The sequence below is a fragment of the Homo sapiens genome, chromosome 17 (assembly GCF_000001405.40).
Source record: "Homo sapiens chromosome 17, GRCh38.p14 Primary Assembly".
Taxonomy (NCBI): domain Eukaryota; kingdom Metazoa; phylum Chordata; class Mammalia; order Primates; family Hominidae; genus Homo; species Homo sapiens.
In genome coordinates this window covers 29,448,966-29,475,635 of record NC_000017.11, presented here as the reverse complement: position 1 = coordinate 29,475,635, position 26,670 = coordinate 29,448,966, and the positions used below count along the sequence as shown (strand labels likewise).

Sequence of the window (26,670 nt, the reverse complement as noted above, 5' to 3'; positions counted from 1 at the left end):
GGACTTTTCCTCAGAAAGTTATATAAGAATAAAAGTAATTACTAAATTTAGAAGAGTTAACAAGAACATGCAACTTTGCTTGGTTTTACTTATTTATTGGGAGGGTCTTGCTCTTTCACCCAGGCTGGAGTGCAGTGGCACAATCTCAGCTAACTGCAACCTCCATCTTGTGGGCTCAAGTGATCCTCCCACCTCAGCCTCCCAAGTATTTGGGTCTACAGGCGCACACCACCATGCTCATCTAATTTTTCTATTTTTTGTACAGATGGGGTTTCACTGCATTGCTCAGACTGGTCTCAAACTCCTGACCTCAAGTGATTCACTTGTCTTGGCCTCCCAAAATATGGTCATTTTTAGATAAAATGTCAAAATTAAAAAGTTTAAATAAATTATATTCAGCCAGGTACAGTGGCTCACGCCTGTAATCCCAGCACTTTGGGAGGCTGAAGCAGGTGGATCACAAGGTCAGGAGATTGAGACCATCCTGGCCAACATGGTGAAACCGTGTCTCTACTAAAAATACAAAAATTAGCTGGGCGTGGTGGTGTGCACCTATAGTCCCAGGTACTCGGGAGGCTGAGGCAGGAGAATAGCTTGAACACGGGAGGTGGAGGTTGCAGTGAGCCGAGATCGAGCCACACTGCACTCCAGCCTGGTGACAGAGCGAAACTCGGTCTCAAAAATAAAACAAATAAATAAATAAATAACATTCATATACAGGCATATCTCAATTTACAGCACTTTGCTTTATTGTACTTCACAGATGTTACTTTTTTTTTTTTAAAACAAATTGAAGGTTTGTAGCAATCCTGTGTCAAAGCAAGTCTACCAGCACCATTTTTCCAATAGCATGGGCTCACTTGATGTCTTTGTGTCACCTTTTGGTAACTCTCACAATATTTGAAACTTTTTCATCATTATTATTATATCTGTTATGGTGATCTGTGATCAGTAATTGTTTACATTACTATTGTAATTGTTTTGGGGAGCCATGAACTGTGCCCATATAAGATGGTGAATTTAATCAATAAACATGTATTCTCACAGTTCCACCAGCCAGCCATTCCCCAGTCTGTCTCCCTTTCCTTGGGCCTCCCTATTCTCTGAGACACAATAATGTTGAAATTAGGCCATCAATAACCCCACAGTGACCCCTAAGTGTTCAAGTGAACGGAATACTCACACATCTGTCACTTCAATTCAAAACTTACAAGTGATTAAGCTTAGTGAGAAAGGCATGTCAAAAGCTGAGACAGGCTTTGAAGCTAGGCCTTTTGCACCAAATAGCCAAGTTGTAAATGCAAAGAAAAAGTTATTGAAGAAAATTTAAAGTGCTACTCCAGTGAATATATGAATGATAAGAAGGTAAAACAAGTTTATTGTTGATGTGAAGAAAGCTTTAATGGTCTGGATAGAAAATCAAATCAGCGACAACATTCCCGTAAAACAAAGTCTAATCTAGAGGATGGCCCTAACTCTCTTTAACTCTACAAAGGCTGAGAGAGGTGAGAAAGCTGAAGAAGAAAAGTTGGAAGCTAGTAGAGGTTGCTTCATCAGGTTTAAGGAAAGAAATTATCTCCGTAAAATAAAAATGCAAGGTAGGCCGGCACGGTAGCTCACTCCTATAATCAATCCCAGCATTTTGGGAGACCAAGGCGGACAGATCACTTGAGGTCAGGAGTTCAAGACCAGCCTGGCCAACAAGGTGAAACCCCATCTCCACTAAACACACAAAAATTAGCCAGGTGTGGTGATGCGTGCCTGTAGTCCTAGCTACTAGGGAGGAAACGCAGAGGAAGGAGAATCGTTTGAACCCAGGAGGCGGAGGCTGCAGTGAGCCAAGATAGTGCCACTGCACTCTAGCCTGGGCAACAGAGAGAGACTCTGTCTCAAAAAAAAAAGAAAAAGAAAGAAAGAAAAGTGCAAGGTGAAGCAGCAAGTACTGATGTAGAGGCTACATGCAAGTTATCCAGAAGATCTAGCCAATGTGTCATTGATGAAGGTGGCTACATTACGCAACAGATTTTTTTTTTTTTTTTTTGAGAGTTTCACTCTGCCATCCACACTGGAGTGCAGTGGCATGATCTTGGCTCACTACAACTTCTGCCTCCTGGGTTCAAGCATTCCTCCTGCCACCACATCTGGGTAATTTTTCTATTTTCAGCAGAGACGGGGTTTCACCATGTTGGCCAAGCTGGTCTCGAACTCCTGGCCTCAAGTGATCCACCTACCTTGGCCTCCCAAAGTGCTGAGATTACAGGTGTGAGCCACCATGCCCAGTCAACAGATCTTCAGTGTAGATGAAATAGCCTTATATTGGAAGAAGATACCATCTAGGACTTTCATGGCTACAGAGCAACTATGAAATGCCTGGTTTCAAAGCTTCAAAGGACAGGCTGACTCTCTTGTTAGGGGCTAATGCAGCTTGTGATTTTAAGTTGAAGTCAATGCACATTTACCATTCCAAAACTCCTACTCTGCCTGTGCTTGTTCAATGAAACAACAAAGCCTGGATGACAGTACATCCATTTAAGCATGGTTTAGTGAATATTTTAAGGCCACGGTTGAGATTTACTGCTCAGAAAGATTCCTTTCAAAATATTACTGGTCTTTGCCCGTGTACCTAGCCACCCAAGAACTCTGATAGAGATATAAAAGGAGATTTATGTTGTTTTTATTCCTGCTAATACACCATCCATTCTGCAGCCCATGGATCAAGGAATAATTTTGAGTTCCAAGCCTTATTATTTAAGAAAGGCCAGCAGGGCACAGTGGCTCACGCCTGTAATCCCAGCACTTTGGGAGGCCGAGGCGGGCGGATCACCTGAGGTCGGGAGTTCAGGACTAGCCTGACCGACATGGAGAAACCCTGTCTCTACTAAAAAAATACAAAATGAGCCGGGCGTGGTGGTGCATGACTGTAATCCCAGCTACTTGGGAGGCTGAGGCAGGAGAATCACTTGAACCCAGCGGGGCGGAGGTTGCGGTGAGCCGAGATAGTGCCATTGCACCCCAGCCTGGGCAACAAGAGCGAAACTCCATCTCAAAAAAAAAAAAAAAAAGAAAGAAAGAAAGGCTATAGCAGCTGGGCATGGTGGTTCACGCCTGTAATCCCAACACTTTGGGAGGCCGAGGCAGGTGGATCACCTGAGGTCAGGAGTTCGAGACCAGCCTGGCCAACATGGCAAAACCCTGTCTCTACTAATAATACAAAAATCAGCCAGGCATGGGGATGCAGGCCTATAATCTCAGTTACTCGAGAGGCTGAGGCAGGAGAATCGCTTGAACCCGGGAGGCAGAGGTTGCAGTGAGCCGAGATCATGCCATTGCACTCCAGCCTGGGCGACAAGAATGAACTCCATCTCAAAAAAAAAAAAAACACACAACGGCTATAGCTGCCATAGACAGCAATTTGTCTGATGGATATGGGCAAAGTAAATTGAGAATCTTCTGGAAATAATTCATTCTAGATGCCATTAAGAACGTTTCCGACTCATGGGAGGGCAAATTAGCAACATTATCAGGAGTTTGCAATAAGTGGATTCCAACCCTCATGGATGACTTTGGGGGGTTCAATATTTCAGTGGAGGAAATAATTGCAGATGTGGTGGAAACAGCAGGAAAACTGGAATTACACATGGAGCCTGAAGATGTGACTACACTGCTGCAATTTCATGATAAAACTTGAGTGGATGAGAAACTATTTGTAATAGATGGGCAAAGAAAGTAATTTCTGAATATTACATAAACTTAGTTGATAAAGCAGTAACAGAGTTACAGAGGATGGACTCCAATTTTGAAAGTTTTATCATGGGTAAAATGCTGTCAAACATCATTGCATTCTACAGAGAAATCTTTTGTGAAAGAGAAAACTGATGGGCAAACTTCACTGTTGTCAGATTTTAAGAAATTGCCACAGCCACCTTAACCTTCAGCAACCACTACCCTGATCAGTCAGAAGCCATCAACATGGAAGCAAGATTCTCAACCAGCAAAAATAGTATGACATGCTGAAGGCTCAAATTATCATTAACTTTTTTTTAGAAATAAAATATTTTAAGCTGGGCGCGGTGGCTCACGCCTGTAATTCCAGCACTTTGGGAGGCCGAGGTGGGGGGATCACGAGGTCAAGAGATCGAGACCATCCTGGCCAAGATGATGAAACCCCGTCTCTACTAAAAATACAAAAAATTAGCCAGGCGTGGTAGCGGGCACCTGTAGTCCCAGCTACTCGGGAGGCAAGCAGGAGAATCACTTGAACCCGGGAGGCGAAGGTCGCAGTGAACCAAGATTGCGCCACTGCACTCCAGCCTGGCGACAGAGTGAGACTTCATCTCAAAAAAAAAAAAAAAAAAAAAAGAAAGAAAATATTTTAAAATTAAGGTACGTACACTGTCTTTTTTAGACAAAATGTTATTGCACACTTAATGGACTACGGTACTACAGTATAGCATGGACATATATATATATATATTTTTTAGATGAAGTCTTGTGTTGTTGTCCAGGCTGGAGTGCAGTGGCACAATCTTGACTCACTGCAGCCTTCGCCTCCTGGGTTCAAGTGATTCTTGTACCTCTTCCTCCTGGGTTCAAGTGATTATCCTGCCTCAGCCTCCCAAGTACCTTGGAATTACAGGCACCTGCAACCATGCCTGGCTAATTTTTGTATTTTTAGTAGAGACAGGGTTTTCCACCACATTGGCCAGGCTGGTCTCAAACTCCTGACCTCAAGTGATCCGCCTGCCTCGGCCTTCCAAAGTGCTGGGATTACAGGCGTAAGCCACTGTGCCAGGCCTAGACATAATTTTCATATGCACTGGGCACCAAAAAATTCATGTGACTTGCTTTATTATGATATTTGCTTTATTGTAGTGGTTGAGAACAAAACCCACAATATCTCCAAGTCATGCCTATAGTTTACAACTCAATTATATAATTTACAAAATTATTTCACTCAAGGTAGGTAAGACAAATTTGAGTTTGATAAAATTTATCATTAATGACTCATTAAAATTTTACAACCATACACCAATCATGTTGATAACTATATACCATATTCAGTGATTTTTCTTCAAAAGTCCAACCTTTCTTTTTTTTAATACAGTTTTATTGATATATAATTTATATACCATAAAGTTCACCTGTTGTGTTTTTGGCTCATTTCTATTACCAAATGTTAGGGTTTAACTCAAATGAAGTAATTCCTCTGAGATTTAAGTTCCTAAATGCAGACTCTAAAATGCTAGTGAATAATTAGCTATTATATATAAAAGTTCACAGAAAAAAACCAAGCAGTACAAAAATCTTTTCCTACATAGTTTACTAAGAGCCTTATTCACTAATACCTATACCTATCAGGAAATACAGTTAAACCTTTGGTCTTAAGCTACTTCATGACAACCTTAAATACTTAGGCCACATCCTAAACATAGTTACTCTTAAGAAGCAACCCAAGAACTCTAAAAATACAGATCCTTTGGTCCATACCCAGAAATTCCACAGATTTAGGAGGTGTGAGAGGAGGACTAGAAATCTGTTTTTGCTCTTTTTAATTATTTTAAGTTTTATCACTGATTTGGGCTATATTCTTAATGGCAAGGGAAGCAGTATAAATAGAATAAGAAATGTTGTATACTAGATTTAAGATCATATACCTCCTATGTTATTTCACAAGGCCTTAACAGAACACAGCAAAATATGTTCCGGTGTTTTGTGTAAAATGTGGAAGATACATTATAAAATGCTAAATCCAGAAAATCTGTTCTATGGTCTTTAAGTTTCAAATTTGAATAATCTGGAAGGCAGACTCAAAAAAATGTATTCCTTAACATAAAAAAATTTTCATGAAGGACGCCAACATTAGATATTAAAAGATGATGTGGTAAATGAAAATTTTTGTTCTAGGTGTGACTAATCAGACTCTGAAACAGACAGATATAGATACATATGTAGATATACATACACCCAATGGAATATTTTTCAGACTTAAAAAGGAAGGAAATTCTGACATAACTACAACATGGATGAACTTTGGGGATATTAGGTTACGTGATATAAGCTAGTCACAAACAGACAAATCCCAAATGATTCCACTTATATTAAGTACCTAGTCAAATTTATGGAGACAGAAAGTAGACTGGTGGTTGCAAGAGGCTGGGGAATTATTGCTTAATGACTACAGAGTTTTAATGTTGCAAGATAAAAAGAATTCTAGAGACGCATGGTGATAATGGTTGCACAACGTGAATGCACTTAATTCCACTGAAATGTGGAATTGAAAATAGTTAAAATGGCAAATTTTATGTTGTATTTTACCACAATTAAAAATAATTTTAAAAAATTTAAAGATTAAAGAGAATTCTAGAGTTTTTCTTTTTTCATTTATAAATATTTTATTTTTTGACTGAGATGGGGCGGGGGAGGGGGGATCTCACTATGTTCCCCAGGGTGGTCTCGAACTCCTGGGCTCAAAATGATCCACCCACCTCGGCCTCCCAAAGTGCTGGGATTACAGGTGTGAACCACAGTGCCAGGCAGAATTGCAGATTTTTAAAAGCAGACTACATTTCATAAATAAATTTATGAAATTAGGTAGAATATAATCTGAAGAGAACTAATTAGAATATTAGTGAACTAAAGTACATTCAATGTAGCATTAATAATTTCATTTTCTAATTTTTCAAATTGTTATACATTGCTCGTTTCTCAGACTAGATATACATTCATGTTGATTAAAGTTTGTTTAAAACAGGCATTAAACAATGTTTAAACCATTTTAAAGATCACAGGCTAGGTGCGGTGGCTCACGCCTGTAATCTCAGTACTTTGGGAGGCCAAGGCAGGTGGATTGCTTGAGGTCAGAAGTTCAAGACCAGCCTGGCCAACGTGGTGAAATCCCACCTCTACTAAAGATACAAAATATTTGCCAGGTGTGGTGGCAGGCGCCTGTAATCCCAGCTACTTGGGAGGCTGAGGCAGGAGAATTACTTGAACCTGGGAGGTGGAGGTTACAGTGAGCCAAGATCGCGCCACTGCACTCCAGCCTGGTGGACAGAGAGATGCTCTGTCTCAAAAAAAAAAAAGATCATATCCAGTATAATTTACTGTCAAGTACATCTTATTTTACTTTAATTTTTTAGAAACTGATAATCTTTCCAAGATAAACAGAGAATATTTAAAATGACAGTTTAAAAAATTAAGGCTGGGAGCGGTGGCTTACGCCTACAATCCAAGCACTTTGGGAGGCCGAGGCAGGCAGATTGCCTGAGGTCAGGAGTTCGAGAACAGTCTGGCCAACATGGTGAAACCCTGTCTCTACTAAAATACAAAAAATTAGCCTGGCATGGTGGCATGCACCTGTAGTCCCAGCTACTCAGGAGGCTGAAGCAGGAGAATTGCTAAAACCCAGGAGGCAGAGGTTGCAGTGAGCTGAGATCGCACCACTGCACTCCAGCCTGGGCAGCAGAGTGAGACTCCAGCTCCTAAAAAAAAAAAAAAAAATTGAAAGCAGGCCAAGCACAGTGGTTCACACCTGTAATCCCAGCATTTTGGGAGGCCAAGGCAGGTGGATCACCTGAAGTCAGGAGTTTGAGACCAGCCTGGCCAACATGGAGACACCCTGTCTCTACTAAAAATACAAAAATTAGCCAGGTGTGGTGGCGCACAACTGTAATCCCAGATACTCTGGAGGCTGAAGCAGGGGAACTGCTTGAACCTGAGAGGTGGCGAAGGTTGCAGTGAGCCAAGATTGTGCCACTGCATTCCAGCTTAGGTGACAGAGCGAGACTCTATCTAAAAAAAAATAAAAATAAATAAATAAATAAATAAATAAAAATAAAAGCAGGAAGCAAGAGTAGGGGGGATTTGGAGATACCAATAATGCTCTGTTTATGGCTCTCAGTACTATTAGAGTTAAATGGGTACATCGGTTTGTGAAAATAAATTCATTGAGATATACACTTAAGATGTGTATACTTCACCTGTTAACACTTAAAAAATTCCCACCCTTCCTCCCCAGTTAAAAATTATGTCTTCCTCTAACATACCAATAAGAATGTATATATTGGCCGGGCGCGGTGGCTCACGCCTGTAATCCCAGCACTTTGGGAGGCCAAGGCGGGCAGATCACGAGGTCAGGAGATCAAGACCATCCTGGCTAACACGGTGAAACCCATCTCTACTAAAAATACAAAAAATTAGCTGGGCGTGGTGGCGGGTGCCTGTAGTCCCAGCTACTCGGGAGGCTGAGGCAGGAGAATGGCGTGAACTTGGGAGGCGGAGCTTGCAGTGAGCCAAGATTGCACCACTACACTCCAGCCTGGGCTACAGAGGGAGACTCAGTCTCAAAAAAAAAAAGAATGTATATATTTATTCTGAGATAAATATAAGAAAAAAACAAGAATGTACATATTTAACCTACCTCAGTAGACTGCTTTCCACTATAAGACATTTTCTTGATGGCCACCACTTCATTGGTACGCACATCTCGTGCCTAAAGAAGAAAGAAAGAAAGAAGCACTGTAAAAATTAACAGGTGAAATCTAGGCAACTATTTCTTTGCGAATATAAAAGCATTTGTAAACTACCATGTCAAAAAGGACATCAAAACCACTTTTAAAGAAAATTTTAAAAATAACACTATACAGCAATACTTATAAAATTATCCTGGAGCTAGTGCTTTAAAAAGAAAATAAAGCAAAGTAAAAAAATAAGAAAATAAACCTTTGAGTAATCTGAGAAGAAAAATACAGAAATTTGAGTAGTACTATAAACAAAGAGACAATGCAATACAAGTGTATAAAAGTCTATGCTAATAAAGTTTGAAATCTCAATGAAACAGACAACTTTTTAAGAAAGAATAAATTACTAAAACTGACCTAAAGACAATAACATGAGTAAAACAATGATGGCAGATTGAAAAGAATACCAATGAATGATCTTTAACATAGTCTTCAGTGAAAAACAGTTTTACCAAAGGAACTTTCCAGAATATATAAGAGAAAAATAGAAGAGCTATCCCATTAATTTTACAAAGGCAGTTTAACCCTATAACTGAAACCTCATAAAGAGTACAAAATTGAAAGTTAGGTACCAATTGCATTTGTGAATATAGATGGGAAAACTCTAAAATTAGCAAACCAAATTTTACAGGGCATTAAAAGATTTTTCCTTTGGATAAAATATACTATTACAGGCTGGGCGTGGTGGCTCACACCTGTAATCGCAGCACTTTGGGAGGGTGAAGCGGGTGGATCACCTCAGGTCAGCAGTTCGAGATCAGCCTGGCCAACATGGTGAAAATCTATCTCTACTAAAAATATAAAAATCAGCCAGGTGTAGTGGTGCACGCCTGTAATCCCAGCTACTTGGGAGGCTGAGACAGGAGAATCGCTTGAAACTGGGAGTCGGAGACTGCAGTGAGCCATGACCGTGCCACTGCACTCCAGCCTGGACAGCAACTCTGTCTCAAAAAACAAAACACACAGGAATGCAAAAGATTTTGAAACTAGAAAAACATTTCATAATTCACCACATCTTTTAAAAGTCAAGGGGAAAAATATATATAAACTCTCAATAAATGCTGAAAATGTGAGACAGGCCTAACGCTAAATGTATTCAATTGTAGAGAAGGCCAAACTCTTAGAAAAACAAAATTAGCAAGGTAATTCCTCAACATATGCTGTCTATTGAAAACAACTGCTAATCAGGATCAAGACCAGACTCCTTAAAATGCTGTCATGATGATTATTTAATACTGTTGTGGAAAATCTGAAAAAAAAAAAAAAAAAAAAAAAAAAAGCACAGAAACTTGACAGTTAACTCTTAGAAAACAAGAGCGAAACTCCCACTATACACACAAAAAAAATAACTATTAAGAAAGTACAAGGCAATAGCTGTGAAATATTTAAAATGAGTTTAATAAAAGGGTTAGAAACCATCTCAAACCATCTGTGCAAGAACTCGTTTTCAATTCAGGCTCTAATGAATTCCCAAAGACAAAATGTTCTAAAACTGGATTGTAGTGATGGCTACAAAACTTGTATCTACTAAAAATAATTGAACTGTACACTTAAAACTGGTAGACCTCTGGTATGTAAATTATACCTCAAAAAACTTTTTTTTTAAAAAAAGGACAGCACCTGTAAAATTATACCTCAATAAAGGTTGCTTTAAAAAATTAAGTAAGGGCCAGGCGCGGTGACTCACACCTGTAATCCCAGCACTCTGGGAGGCAGAGACGCGCGGATTGCGAGGTCAGGAGTCCGAGACCAGCCTGACCAACATGGTGAAACCCCGTCTCTACTAAAAATACAAAACAGCCAGGTGTGGTGGCGCACGTCTGTAATCCCAGCTACTCAGGAGGCTGAGGCAGGAGAATCGCTTGAACATGGCAGGCAGAGGTTGCAGTGAGCCGAGATCATGCCATTGCACTTGAGCCATTGCAGTCCAGCCTGGGCAACAGAGTGAGAGTCCATCTCAAAAAAAAAAAAAAAAAAAAAAAAAAAAATTAAATAAGACCAGGCATGGTGGCTTATGCCTATAATCCCAGCACTTTGGGAGGCCGAGGCGGGTGGATCACTTGAGGTCAGGAGTTCAAGACCAGCCTGGCCAACTTGGTGAAACCCCGTCTCTACCAAAAATATAAAAATTAGCCAGGCATAGTGGCACATGTCTGTCGTCCCAGCTACTCGGGAGGTTGAGGCACAAGAATCGCTTGAACCCAGAAGGCAGAGGTTGCAGTGAGTTGAGATTGCGCTACTGCACTCCAGCCTGAGCAACAGAGACCCTGTATCAAAAAAAAAAAAAAAAAAAAGACAGAGCTTATTATCTGTGTTCTGCTACATGAGTACAGTGAAGAACTAAGGACATTTTAATTTCAACTGCCAGTGGATTGGTTAGTGGAAACCTGTACCATTCACTGTAAAGGGTGAAGTAGATCTAGCCACATAAGTCTTGTTAGATATGAATTTCTTTTTCCAAAATGTTCTCTACTCACCTACCTGTGAGCCCCCTGATTTTGATTAATAGGACTAAAAGGTCATATAACAGCTTTATTGAGAAATAATTCATATACCATATAATTTACCCATTTTAATGTACACAATTCAATGGCCTTTAGTACATTAGCAGATATGTGCAACCATTAGAACGGTCAATTACAGAACATTTTTTTTTTCTTTTTTTTTTTTTTTGAGATGGAGTCTCGCTTAGTAGTCCAGGCTGGAGTGCAGCGCTGCGATCTTGGCTCACTGCAAACTCTGCCTCCCAGGTTCATGCCATTCTCCTGCCTCAGCCTCCTGAGTAGCTGGGACTACAGGTGCCCGCCACCACGCCCAGCTAATTTTTTTGTATTTTTTTTTTTTTAGTAGAGACGGGGTTTCATCGTGTTAGCCAGGATGGTCTCGATCTCCTGACCTCATGATCCATCTGTCTTGGCCTCCCATAGTGCTGGGATTACAGGCGTGAGCCACCGCGCCTGGCCCATAAACTCTTTAGCTATCAGTCTCCTGTCTCCTTACCTACCTCCCAGACCTAAGCAGTAATTTACTTTCTGTCCCTAGAGATTTGCCCATTCTGGACATTTCATACAAATGTAATCATATATGTGGTCTTTTGTAATTGACTTCTTTCATTTAGCATAATGTCAAAATTCATGACTAATGAGGTTGAGGATCTTTTCATGTGTTTCTTGGCCATTTGCATATTTTCTTTGAAGAAATCTTGATTCAAGGTCCTTTGCCTATTTTTAAAATTGAGTGTCTTTTTATTATTGAGTTGTAAGAGTTCTTCATATATTCAAGACCCAGGTCCCTTGTCAGATATATCATTTGCAAATATTTTCTCCTGTTGTCTTTTCACTGCTTTGAAGCAGGAAAGTTTTTAATCTTGAAGAAGTCCAATTTATCCTGTTGTTGTTGTTCACACTTTTAATGTCCCATCTAAGAAGGCTTTGCCAAAACAAATGTTATGCAGATTTATCCCTACATTTTCTTCTAAGAGTATTATAGTTTTAACTGTTAAACTTACGTCTCTCATCTATTTTGAGTTAATTTTTTTTTTTTTTTGAGATGGAGTCTTGCTCTGTCACCCAGGCTGGAGTGCGGTGGCGCAATCTCGGCTCACTGCAACCTCCACCTCCCGGGTTCAAGTGATTCTCTTGCCTCAGCCCCCGGAGTAGCTGGGATTACAAGCACATGCCACCATGCCCGGCTAATTTTTTTTATTTTCAGTAAAGATGGGGTTTCGCCACGTTGGCCAGGCTGGTCTCAAACTCCTGACCTTGGGTGATCTGCCCGCCTTGGCCTCCCAAAGTGCTGGGATTACAGGCATGACCCACCGTGCCTGGCCTGGGTTAATTTTTGTATATAGTATGAGGCAGCAGTCCAATTTCATTATTTTGCATTTACAAAGCAAAAAATTACCTAAAACAAAAATTATGGCATTGTATTATATGTTTATAATATATGTAGATACAATACATATGACAAGAATAGCATAAAGAATATGGAAAGGGATAAATAATTTCTACATTTTACTTGACATGATAGAATATTAACAAATGAACTTGAAAAAAAGATGGAATGTTCTAGTAGAAAGTAACAGTAAGAAAAGCTTGCAAAAGTGTTTGTTTACATAATAAAACACTGTGTAGAACAGAACCAAATGAACTATAAGTAACTAACAAAGAACACAATACTACACATCATCTATTCTCACCTCCAGAGAGAAAAAGAGCAAAAACAAAATAAGTTGTAGTCCTAAAGACAAACTAGATGCTGTTGAGAGAAAAACGGGAACAGAAATAGTCAGAGAGAGTAGGAAAAAGAAAATACACACAATAAATAATTTTGTTTCAAACTAGGAAATTGTCTGTGAAGATACATTTGGGATCTATTTTAATAAATTCATAAGAATGATCTGAAATCACTACATCAATTAATTATATATAAATGGTCTTATGAGACTAATGTGAACAACACCAAACAATTTACTGTAATCACTGAAAATATAAAACTTGCAAACCTGCTAAGGGAGCACAGATTAGTAAAATCTTATACTAGGAAACAAGAGGTAAATATTACATCCCGTTTCAAGAAATGAACAAAACCCCACTTTGTTAGAAAGTAAATAAATGATTTTGCTGGGACCATACATGGTCTACCATATTTGTTAGCAAGCTGCCTGGTTCCCAAGCCAGTGTTCTCTTTGGCTTTTATATTATATTTCTTATTGTGTGACCCATCTACTGACATCACATTGGTTCTATTTAAGGTGTTGGAAACTAAAAGATTATGTTTATCTTCCTGGTAATCTAGAGACAGTGATCCTTTTGGACATCTGACTCTGGTTTAGTTTCAAATACTCACTACGGTACCAGTCCTTGATTAGCTTGCCTGATGAAACAGCCATGCTGGCTGACTCAATTTGAGTATTTTTTAATTTAAGGTGATCCCTGCCAATTAATTAAAATTCAGAAGTGTGTTAAAGAGCTATTTTTAGCCACCTAAAAAAATTTGACCAGAGGGTCCTTCCTTTAGATAGTCTATAAACAAACACTGCACATTTCATCCTGTCATGGAGTGGGGATGAGAGGAAATGTAACAACAGAACAGTGTGTGCATGGGTTTCTCTGATACCACAAAATATGAAGATTAGTGACCCAGAAATAGAATTGCAGCAAAAAGATTCAATTCTGGACTACATTCAAACTTTCCTCATCTACATGTTCATGTTTCCCACACATCAATAAACATAACAGAAAAAACCTGCTTTGAGTTAATTAACCTTGACTCCTCTGTGCTTTCATTCAATTGTTTCTGGGATGGTCCTAACCTGAATTGGAGAGTTTCCTGGCCCCCTAAATCAGCATTAAAAAAAAAAAAAATTTCGCTCTCTACATTTCATTACACAAATCTGTCAAACATATGACAAAGTTGGCACAGCACAGTGAACCCTTCTTATGCCTTCCTTTAGATCAGAAGTGAGCAAAGTTTTTCTCCAAAAGGCAAGTAGTAGAAATTTCAGGCTCTGTGGGCCGCATACAATCTATGTTGCATATTCTTCTTTATTTAATGTTAAAACTGTCCTTAGTTTAGGAGCTGAACAAAAACACATCACAGGTTGGATTTGGTGTCAGGGCTGAGGTTTGTTGGCCCTGTCTATAGAAAAATTCTTGGTTAACATTTTGCCACATTTCCTTTGAGATTTTCTATCTAAATATACCTTTTGTTATCATTATTTTATAATTAAAGAGCCATTAGAGAATATTCTGATCCTTAGTCCTAAAACACTTCTTCATGTATCTCCTAAGAACAAGAACATTCTCATGAATAACCAAAGTACAATTACCGTATGTAGAAAATTCAGCACTGATATAATATCATTATCCAGATGCATACATAGTACGCACTCAAATTTCACCAACGTTTGAGTAATGCTCTTTACAGGCTTTTTTTTTCTAATCCAGGATCACACATTATGCCTAATTTCCGAGTCTCTCCTAAACCAGCTCCAGATATCTGACTTAGAACAATTTGTTTTTGTTTTCTCGTTAGAATCTTATTTCTGAGACTATGAGACCTTCAACTACAGCTCTCTGAAATAATCCAGTTTGGGTAGAAGAATCTTAGCAATTATTACATAAGGAGGTGCAAACAACAGAGAATCACTTCCTCTCACTCTCTTTAATAATTCTACTCTAGGAGTGAGACACTACCACATGCGCCCTTTATCTTATCAGAATATAAATGCTCTTTATTCTACTGATTAAAACTTTCATTCTCAACTGTTTACTTACCTCTCCACTCTCACTGCTACTAACTAAGCTCTCTGCATTTCTTTCCTAAATTATTATAAAAGCATCCTAATCAGTCTCTCTGCTTCGATCTCTGATACATGCCAACCTTTCCTCTACATTAATACAAGAGTAAACTTTACTTCACAAATGGAAATAAAATATTTCTGTTGTACTTCAGTGGTTCCCTGAAGACTTCAGAATAAAGCCCATATTTCTTAGGGTAATGTAGCAGGTATTTCAAGAGCCCTTGATTATCTTTCTTTTCTCCCATTACATCTTTAGTTCCCACTATACCCTTGATCCTAGGCATACCAACTTCAGTCATACTTGTCAAAAAAGACTACTGACAGGCCGGGTGTGGTGGCTCATGCCTGTAATCCCAGAACTTTGGGAGGCCGAGGCGGGTGGATCATGAGGTCAGGAGTTCGAGACCAGCCTGGCCAACATGGTGAAACCCGGTCTCTACTAAAAATACAAAAATTAGCCAGGTGTGCTGGCAAATGCCTGTAATCCTAGCTACTCAGGAGCCTGAGCCAGAAGAATTGCATGAACCCGGGAGGTGAAGGTTACAGTGAACTGAGATCGTGCCACTGCACTCTAGTCTGGGTGACAGAGCGAGACTCCGTCTCAGAAAAAAAAGACTACTGACAAAGTTCTAGAATTGGGATAATGCAATTTTATAGTTTTATTTTGAAAAAGTTAAATCATTGATATTTTGCCAAGATGGGTCTTTGTCTCTTTAATAAAAGGAAAAGGGCAAGAAACATTACTTTCACCACTTTGTAGATCATATAGGCAGGCCTAAAGAGGTCTGAGGAAAACCTGCTGAAATTCAAAACTTTCCAATATAACAATGAAAGACCCACTGCTCCAAAACACCACATCTTTACAGAAGGATATATGAAAAGCCCAGGTAAGTACAAATAATATGACTAGTGAGGATGTGGAGAAAAGGGAACCCCTGTACACTGTTGGGAATGTAAATTAGCACAACCACTATGAAGAAGAGTTTGGATGGAGGTTCTCCAAAACACTAGAAATAGAGCTACCATATCATCCAGCAATCCAACTATTAGGTATATGCCCAACATAAAGGAAATTAGTATTATCAAAGAGATATCTGCACTCTCATGTTTATTGCAGCACTATTCACAACAGCCAAGAGCTGGAAACAATGTAAGTGTCCACCAACAGACAAATAGATAAAGAAAATGTGGTACATTTATACAATGAAGTACTATTCGGCCATAAAAAAAGAATGAGGCCGGGTGTGGTGACTCATGCCTGTAACTGGGAGGCTGAGGCAGGTGGATCACTTGAGGTCAGGAGTTCGAGACCAGCCTGGCCAACATGGTGAAATCCCGTTTCTACTAAAAATAAAAAAAAACAAACAGCCGGGCGTGGGGGCGGGCGCCTGTAATCTCAGCTACTCGGGAGGCTGAGATAGGAGAATCACTTGAACCCAGCAGGCGGTGTTTGCAGTGAGCTGACAAAGCAGGCAATATATGTAAAACAATTATATAAAATTACCAGAGAGCAACAAATGCAGGCATAACTTTAGAGACTACAATCCTTGAAAAAAACAACAGTATGCAAAATGAACTCCAAATTTACCCCAGCTTCATCTCTGAACTTGTGAAAGGAAAACAGAGTCCAAGAAGAAAGCCAGGCTGAGGAGACAGAAGCCAGAGTCAGAAGCTAACAAAAGCACAATCTCAGAAAAGGAAGCTGAAAAGCAGAAGCTCAAAAATCTACAAATTCTCCTTAAGTAACCGGCCAACATGGTGAAACCCCATCTCTAGTAAAAATACAAAAATTAGGCTGGGCAAAGTGGCTCATGCCTATAATCTCAGCACGTTGGGAGGCCAAGGCGGGTGGATCTCTTGAGGTCAGGAATTCAAGACCAGCCTGGCCAACATGGTAAAATCCTGTCTCTACTAAAAATACAAAAAAATAAAAAATAAAAATAAAATAAAATTACCTGGGCGTGGTGGCGCACGCCTATAATCCCAGCTACTCGGCAGGCTGAGGCAGGAGAATTGCTTGAACCCAGGAGGCAGAGGTTGCAGTGGGGCGAGATTGCAATACTGCATTCCAGCCTGGGCAAAAGAGTGAGACTCTGTCTCACAAAAAAAACAAATAAAATAAATAAACAAAAAATAGAAATACAAAAAACTAATCAGGTGTGGTGGCGCATGTCTGTAATTCCAGCTACTGGGGAGGCTGAGACACGAGTATCACTTGAACCCAGAGGCAGAGGTTGCAGTGTGACAAGATTGTGCCATTGCACTCCAGCCTGGGTAAGAGAGCGAGACTTCGTCTCAAAACAAAAACAAAACAAAACAAAAAAAACCATATTGAAATACTACTACACACCCACCAGAATGCAAATTAAAATGACTGTCAATACCAAATGTTGGAGACGATAAAGAGCAAACCAAATTCTCATACACTGCTGATGGGACTGTAAAATTTCTCCCTCTTGATAAAAACATCTGGGAATTGATTATAAAACTAACATAAGCTTGCCTGATGACTCAATAACCCCATCCTTGATATTTACTGAAATCAAAACATCCATAAAAAATAACTGTGCATGAATTGTTCACAGCAACTTTATTCATAATAGCCAGAAACCGTAAACAGTAAAGCTTTCTGCCAACAAAAGAATGGAGAAACAAACTGTGGAGTAATCATATAACAGTGTTATGGTTAATTTTTTTTTTTTCAAGATGGAGTCTCACTCTGTCGCCCAGGCTGGAGCCCAGTGGCGCAATCTCGGCTCACTGCAAGCTCCACCTCCCGGGTTCACGCCGTTCTCCTGCCTTAGCCTCCCAAGTAGCTGGGACTACAGGCGTCCGCCACCACACCCGGCTAATTTTTTGTATTTTTAGTAGAGATGGAGTTTCACCGTGTTAGCCAGGATGGTCTCGATCTCCTGACCTCCTGATCTGCCTGCCTCGGCCTCCCAAAGTGCTGAGATTACACGCGTGAGCCACCGTGCCTGGCCTTTTGTTATGGTTAATTTTATCTGTCAACTGGGCTAGGCCATGGTACCCAGATCTTTAGTCAAACACTATTTATATGTTTCTGCGAAGGCATTGTTTGGATGGCACTTAAATCAGTAAACTCAGGCAAGGTGCAGTGGCTCACGCCTGTAATCCCAGCACTTTGGGAGGCCGAGATGGGTGGATCGCTTGAGGTTAGGAGTTCAAGACCAGCCTGGCCAACATGGTGAAACCCCGTCTCTACTAAAAATACAAAAATTAGCCGGGCATGGTGGTGCGCACCTGTAATCTTAGCTACTCAGGAGGCTGAGGTGGGAGAATCACTTGAATCCAGGATGTGGAGGTTGCAGTGAGCCGAGATCACGCCATTGCACTCCAGCCTAGGTTACAGAGCCACACTCCATCTCAAAAAAAAAAAAAAAAAAAAAGGCCTGGGGTGGTGGCTCACGCCTGTAATCCCAGCACTGTGGGAGGCCGAGGCGGGCGGATCACCTGAGGTCAGGAGTTCAAGACCAGCCTGGCCAACATGGTGAAACCCCATCTCAACCAAAAAATACAAAAATTAGCCAGGTATGGTGGCATGCACCTGTATATTCCCATCTACTTGGAAGGCTGAGGTGGGAGGGGTGCTTGAACCCAGGAGGCAGAGGTTGCAGTGAGCCAGGATCATGCCACCGCACTGCAGCCTGGGAGACAGAGACAGAGTGAGACTCTGTCTCAAAAAAAAAAAAAAAAAAAAAAGAAAAAGAAAAAAAGAGAAGAAAAGAATGGGAGAACGTTACAGAAATAGAACTATATGGCCAGATGCTGTGGCTCACGCCTGTAATCCCAGCACTTTGGGAGGCCGAGGAAGGCGGATCACAAGACCAGGAGATCGAGACCATCCTGGCTAACACAGTGGAACCCCGTCTCTATTAAAAATACAGAAAATTAGCCAGGCGTGGTGACAGGCGCCTGTAGTCCCAGCTACTTGGGGGGCTGACGCAGGAGAATGGAGTGAACCCGGGAGGCAGAACTTGCAGTGAGCTGAGATCACACCACTGCACTCCAGCCTAGGCGACAGAGCGAGACTCCGTTTTAAAAACAAAACAAAACAAAAAAAGAAATAGAACTATATGAGAACATTATAGGTTGAGTATACCTTGTGCAAAATGCTTGGGACCAGAAGTGTTTCAGATTTCAAATTTTTTCACATTTTGGAATATTTGCATTACACTTACTGGCTGGGTATCCCCAGTCTGAAAATCCAAAATCTGAAATGCTCCAACAAGCATTGGATTTTCAGATTTGGGATGCTCAACCTGTAATAGACAAATTCCTAGAAACTTACAAACTAAACTAACTCAAGAAAATCGAAAATCTCAACAGACCTATCATAAGTAAAGAGATTGAATCTGTAATCAAAAACCTCCCAAGAAAGAAAACTTCAGAACCAAATGGCTTCCCTAGGAAATTCTACCAAACATTTTTTTTTTCCCGGAGACAGAGTCTCGCTCTATCCCCCAGGCTGGAGTGCAGTGGCATGATCTTGGCTCACTGCAACCTCCACCTCATGGACGGGTTCAAGCGATTCTCATGCCTCAGTTCCCCGAGTAGCTGGGACTACAGGCATGCACCACCACACTCAACTTATTTTTGTATTTTTAGTAGAGACGGGGTTTTGACATGTTGTCCAGGCTGGTCTCGAACCCCTGACCTCAGGTGATCTGCCTGCCTTGGCCTCCCAAAGTGCTGGGATTACAGGCATGAGCCACCGCGCCCGGCCCTACCAAACATTTAAAGAAGACTAATACCAATCCTTCACAAACTCTATCAAAAAATAGAAAAGAAGGGAACACTTCCTAACTCACCCTATGAAGCCAGTATTACCCTGATGCCAACACTAGATAAAGACATCACAAGAAAACTACAGACCAGCATCTCTTACAAATGTGGAATGAAAAATTCCCAACACCATACTAGCAAACAGAAACCTAGAGCATATTAAAAGAATTACAAACCGTGATGAAGTTTGATTTATCACAGACATGTAAGGGTGATTTAAACTAACAAAATCAATCAATTTGATATACCACATTAATAAAATGAAGGAAAAAAAAAACACATGATCCAGCTTGATGCAGAAAAGGCATTTGACAGAATCCAATACTTTCATGATAAAAACACTCAAAAAAACAGGAATAAAGGGAACTTCTTCAACATGATAAAGGGTATTTATTAAAAACCCAGTGCTAACACCATACTCAATAGTAAAAGGCTGAAAAGGCTTTCTCACTACTATCAGGAACAAGACAACATGCTCACTTTCACCACGGCTGTTCAACACTGTACTGGAAGTTCTAGCCCAGGGTATCAAGACAGGAAAAACGAAAGCCATTCAAGTTGAAAAGAAAGAAGTAAAACCATCTCCATTTGCAAATGATATAATACTGTACGTAGAAATTTCAAAGAATCCAACAGAAAGATACTAGAACATACAAACTCAGCAGAGTTGTAGGGTACAAGATGAAGATACAAAAAACAGCTATGTTTCTATACATCAGCAATGAACAATTTCACACGGAATTAAGAAAGTAATTCCACTTACACTAGCATCTAAAAGAATAAAATACGTAGGAATGACCAGATGCAGTGGCTCACACCTGTAATCCCAGCACTTTGGGAGGCTGAGGCAGGCAGATCACTTGAGGTCAGGAGTTCAAGACCAGCCTGGCCAACATGGTGAAACCCTGTCTCTACTAAAAATACAAAAATTAGCCAAGTGTGGTGGTGTGTACCTGTAATCCCAGCAACTTAGGAGACTGAGGCAGGAGAATCACCTGGGAGGCAAAGGTTGCAGTGAGCAAAGATCGTGCCACTGTACTCCAGCCTGGGTGACAAAGCAAGACTGTCTCAACAAAAAACAAAAAATACCATCCTGGCTAACACAGTGAAACCCCGTCTCTACTAAAAATACAAAAAATTAGCTGGGCATGGTGGCATGCTCCTGTAGTCCCAGCTACTTGAGAGGCTGAGGCAGGAGAATCATTTGAACCCAGGAGGCCGAGGCTGCAGTGAGCCGAGATCGCACCACTGCACTCTAACCTGGGTGACAGGGTGAGACTCCGTCTCAAAAACAAAAAAAAAACAAAAAAACAAAAAAACCTAAGAATATGTTGCATGGAGGTGAAACATTTGCAACTAAATGCAAAATAATGCTCAAGGAAATTAAAGCTATAAATAAATGTTTAGAAAGACATTCTGTGTTCATGGATCAGAAGACTTAATATTATTAAGACAGTGATCTATAGATCTACCAAAAGTGATCTATAGAGTCAACACAATCCCTATCAAAATTCTAAGTCTTTTTTTGCAGAAATAAAAAAGCCACGTCAACTGGAAAGTGGTAATAAGAAAAAAAAAAGCCAATCCTCAAATTCATATGAAATTTCAAGGAGCTCTGAAACAAACCTTAAGAAGAATAACAAAGTTGGAGGAATAAAACCTCTTGATCTCAAACTTACCACAAAGCTACAGTCATCAAAACGGTGTGGTACTGACATAAAGATAGACATACAGATAAATGGAATAGAATTAAGAGATCAGAAATTAATCTATGAAATATGATCAACTGATTTGACAAGGATGCCAAGACAATTCAATGGGGGAAATAACAGTCTCTTTAACAGATGTACTGGGAAAACTAGATTTACCCACACAAAAGAATGAAGTTGGGGCCAGGTGTGGTGGCTCACACCTATAATCTCAGCACTTTTGTGAGGCCAAGGTGGGTGGACTGCTTGTGCCCAGGAGTTCAACACCAGCCTGGGCAACATAGCAAAACCCCATTTCCAAAAAAAAAAAAAAGCAAAAAAATTAGCTGGGCCTGGTGGTGCACGCTTGTGGTCCCAGCTATTCTGGAGGCTGAGGTGGGAGGAACACCTGAGCCCACGGAGGCTGAGGACGTAGTGAGCCATGATGACTCTGCTGCACTCCAGCCTGGGCAACAGAGTGAGAGACCCTGTCTCAAAAAAAAAAAAAACAAAAAAACCTAAGTGAATGAAGTTAGACCTCTACCTCACACCATATATAAAAACTAACTCAAAATATAGCTAGACATGGTGGCATGCACCTGTAATCCCAGCTACTCGAGAGGTTGAGGCAGGAGAATTGCTTGAACCCGGGAGGCGGAGGTTGCAGTGAGCTGAGAACGCACCACTGCACTCCAGCCTGGGCAACAGAGCGACGCTCTGTCTCAAAACAACAAAAACAAAACAAAACAAAAAATCTAACTCAAAATAGGCCAGGTGTGGTGGCTCACACCTGTAATCCCAACACTTCAGGAGGCTAAGGCAAGAGGATCACTTGAGGTCAGGAGTTTGAGACCAGCCTGGCCAACATGGCAAAACCCCGTCTCTACTTAAAAGACAAAAATTAGCCAGGGGTTAGTAGCACGTGCCTATAGGAGATCGAGACCATCTTGGCTAACACGGTGAAACGCTGTCTCTACTAAAAATACAAAAAATTAGCCGGGCGTGGTGGTGGGCGCCTGTAGTCCCAGCTACTCGGGAGGCTGAGGCAGGAGAATGGCATGAACCCGGGAGGCGGAGCTTGCAGTGAGCCGAGATCGTGCCATTGCACTCCAGCCTGGGCAATAGAGCGAGACTCCATCTCAAAAAAAAAAAAAAAAAAAGTAAGCCAGAAACTAAAGGTCAAATATTGTACGATTTCTTTTTTATGAAGTATCCAGAATAGGCAAATCCATAGACATAGAACAAAGACTGGTGCAGCTGCTGTGGTGCAGTTAGGCAGTCCCACAAACAAACACAGAATACTATAGGAACCTGCAAATCCACTCCTAGGTACATACTCAAAATTGAAAACAGGGACTCAACCAGATACACATCAATGTTCATGGCAGCATCATTCACAATAGTCAAAAGTGGAAACAACCCATGTGTTCATCAACAGATGTATAGATAAACAAATTATGGTTTAATATACAATGGAATATTATTCAGCTATAAAGAAGAATGAAGTTCTCACAGATACTGCAATATGGATGAAGCTCAAAAACAATCAGTTAAATAATATAAGCTAGAAACAAAAGAATAAATATTGTTTGACTCCATTTCTATGAATATCTAGAAATATCTAAGCAAATTCATCGAGACCAAGGGAGATTACAGGTACCAGGGGCTGGGTGGAGGGTGAAATGGGAGTTACTGTCAGTGGATATAGAGTTTCTATTTCAGGTGATGAAAATGTTTTAGAAGTAGATGGTGGTAATGTTTGTGCAAATGTTAAAAAATAATTAAAACAGCAAATTTGATAAGTTTTTTTAATTCACACGCACACACAAATGCATATAAAAGAAACAGACTTTGGTATATCTGTCAAATAATAATCCTAGACCTCCACAAGACTAAGATTGACTCTGAATGGGACTTTACAGAAGTAGAAATCAGTGGAAGTCTGTGTTCTGCAGTATTTAACTCTATAGCAATGCAAGCCATGAGACTTATAAAAAAGGTGTGCTAAGAATTCTAAAAAAGTAACACATAAGTTAAAGCAAATTTTTTTCTTTTTCTTTCTTTCATTTGTTTATTTATTTATTTATTTATTTATTTATTTTTTGTGACAGGATCTGCTCTGTTGCCCAGGCTGAAATGCAGTGGTACAATCTCGGCTCACTGCAACCTCTGCCTCTTGGGCTCAGGTGATTCTCTGGCCTCAGCCTCCTGAGTACCTGGAACTACAGGTGTGCACCACCACACCGGGCTAAGTTTTGTATTTTTTGTAGAGGCAGGGTTTCACCATGTTGCCCAGGGTGGTCTCAAACTGCTGGACTCAAGCAATCCACCCAACCTTGCCTCCCAAAGTGCTAGGATTACAGGCGTGAGCCACCAAGCCTGGCCCACAAAATAATATTCTTTCTCATTTTTTCAATAATCCAAGAAGTTCAATAAATAAAACTATTTTCATATTTGAATTTTACACACAGACACACACACTCACCCACGCTCTCGCTCTCGCGCTCTCTCTCTTCCCCCTATGCAAGTGACTATAAAATGACTATGGCCTATATCTCTTTTCATTACTATATTTTGCTCTGTCAGGAGTGGACATTAAGTAAATTTTAGTCACTGACATCAAGCCACTAACACTTACAAAATACACTGCTCCAAAGCTTCCATGGCCAATTTCTCTGAGATCTGTGAAGAGCTTCTCTGGATCTTCTTTGAAGAAGAGCTCTGCAATTTCAGGGTCCTTCAGGCTGCCTGCTCTGTTAGTTGATGGCATCCTGCTGAGCAGTCAGCTGTCTTGATTCTAATTTTATACTGCTATCCCGATCCTTGGTTCATCTGTATGAATGAAGTCACGTTGGCATAAACTACTGTAGAAAAATAGAAAAAAAAAGTCAGAAAAGGCAAAAACTGCTAAGAATAATTAGTATAAGGTCATATACTGATCTACAAATTTATCTCATGTCTAGAATTTCACTGAAAAGGCAGTGTGGGTACTACTGCAGTAGCTCCTAAACCTGTTTCATCATCATGAACACCATGGTACTTCAAAAACAGATTCCTACTATACAGCACTTTAAAAAAATGAGATAATCTTTGTATCTTGGGAGGTTTTCTAAGTCAATACTTAAAAATGTATCCACTTCTGATGCAGTCATCTCATCAATAGAGAAGATAATATAAAAGAGACTATTTTAAAAATACACAATAACGCAAGATGTGCCCACAGTATTTCTGACAACAGGAAACTTCTTTTCTTTTCAGATACCGTATGCTAGTGTACTAATCAACTCTAACAGACATTCAAAGAAAAATATAGTGGGAGAAAGTAATGTATTTCACAGACAACTGTTTCTCCATAAACTTGATTCACCTGATTCACATTAAAATATGCCCTTTATCAACTGTTTCATTAAATAAGTAGAAATACAGATAACCAGAAAACTTCCTGGCAGTTGTCCTATCAATTCCTTTATATCAGATTACCCAGTTTTAATACTGGCTGTCATAGCCAGACTCAGTGGCTCATGCCTGTAATCCCAGCTCTTTGGGAGGTCAAGGCAGGAGGATCGCTTGAGACCAGGAGTTCATGACCAGCCTGGGTAATATGGTAAGACCCTGCCTCTACAAAAATAAATTTAAAAAATTAGCCAAGAGTGGTGTCATGCACTTATAGTCCTGGCTACTTTGGCGGCTAAGGCGGAAGGATCACTGGAGTTCAGGAGGTCAAGGTTGCAGTGAGCTATGATCACACCACCGCACTCCAGCCTGGGCAACAGGGTGAGATCCTGTCTCAAAACAAAACAAAACAAAACTGGATGTCATAATTAAGAGGCTTTGGAACCTGGACTCTGGAATGACACTGCTGGATAGGAATCCCAGCAACACTAGTTCTGAAATTAGGTAGTATCATTTTCCTAATCTGTAAAATGACTATAGGCCAGGTGTGAAAGTTCACATCTGTAATCCAAGCATTTTGAGAGGTCAAAGTGCAAGGATCACTTGCGGCCAGGAGCTTGAGACCAGCTCAGACAACACAGCAAGATCTTCCAATACAAAAAAATTACAAAATTAGCTGGGTGGTGTGGTGTGCTCCTATAGTCCTAGCTACTTGGGAGACTGAGGTGGGAGGATCACTTGTGCCCAGAGGTTCGAGGTTACAGTGAGTGATGATCACCCCATGGCATTCCAGCCTGGGCAAGAGAGAGAGACCCTGTTTGTTAGATGAAAGAAAGGAAAGGAAAGGAAAAAGGAAATAAAAAGGAAAGGAAAGAAAAGAAAAGGGAAAGGAAGGAAGGAGGAAAAAATCTACTTCACAGTGTAATCAGGAGGGTTAAATGAGTTAATAAATGAAAGCATAGAGTAATACTCTGGAGTAATAAGCACTACAGTAAGTGTTAGCTATTTTCTTTTAACTTGTTCAAATTCAACAATTTTTAAAAACTCCAAAATTGATTTCATCAGGCTTTATTTTTTCCTTTTTTGAGACAGAGTCTCACTCTGTCACCCAGGCTGGAGTGCAATGGCACAATCTCAGCTCACTGCAACACCCATCTCCCAGGTTCAAGCAATTCTCCTGCCTCAGCCTCCCAAGTAGCTGGGACTACAGGCACGCACCACCGCCCCCGGCTAATTTTTGTATTTTTAGTAGAGATGGGGATTCACCATGTTGGCCAGGCTGGTCTCGAACTCCTGACCTCAAGTGATCTGCCTGCCTCAGCCTCCCAAAGTGCTGGGATTACAGGCATAAGCCACCACACCTGGCCTGATTTCATCAGACTTTTAAGAGAAAAAAACAGCTCCATCCAATTCTTGTCAAGTAACAAGCAATTTTAATTCTTGCTAGAAAACTTCTTTGTAACTATATAAAATACATTTATATGTCTTTTGTACCCCCCTAAATTAACACCACACTGCAATAAAAATATATAAATTCTTAATTTGTATTCAATTTCTAATATATATCCAAGGCTGCCCCATATACTTTTACCAATTTCCCTGTTCTAGAAGTTCCCTGGAGCAGTCTTAATCACAGTTCTTCCAAGAATATGTGACCATAGCAAAGTCACTTAACTTCTCATCCCTAAACTGAGTAGGCTGAACTAAATTCCATATAAAGTATTAATTTTCAATTAATCAAACTATTAAAAAAACAAACTTCAGTGTTACTTAAGACCGTAGTTAAGAATTTTGAATGATTAAGTTTTAGTGCCCTTATTACAAGAATTATTTTACATTAAAATTTTCTAGCTGGGTCCATGATCGGCATCTTCTTTCTTATCTACCTAACAAATTCCCACTCAAAGTCTTTCAAGATTTAGATTAAATGTCATAATGTTTGCAAAACCTTAACTCTATT

The 26,670-nt window shown here is 40.2% G+C and overlaps 1 protein-coding gene across 2 annotated transcripts in view, besides 1 other annotated feature; it reads right to left on the bottom strand.

Moving 5' to 3' along the window:
* The window catches only part of TAOK1 (TAO kinase 1), a 161,541-nt gene that overhangs the window by 76,268 nt on the left and 58,603 nt on the right, over positions 1 to 26,670 (bottom strand). For both annotated transcript variants that reach the window (NM_020791.4, NM_025142.1), the window contains exons 2-3: positions 23,956 to 24,181; positions 8,420 to 8,491 (exon numbers count right to left, since the gene is read on the bottom strand). In NM_020791.4, the coding sequence (NP_065842.1) occupies positions 8,420 to 8,491; positions 23,956 to 24,087 (204 nt within the window). In that variant the 5' untranslated portion in view covers positions 24,088 to 24,181. The remainder of the gene's footprint in view (positions 1 to 8,419; positions 8,492 to 23,955; positions 24,182 to 26,670) is intronic.
* Positions 20,165 to 20,214: an enhancer, noted in NCBI's record as "active region_11978". NCBI's record gives its function as "activates an Ori minimal core promoter by ATAC-STARR-seq in GM12878 lymphoblastoid cells {active_cell/tissue: GM12878}" and the evidence as "EXISTENCE:reporter gene assay evidence [ECO:0000049][PMID:35858748]".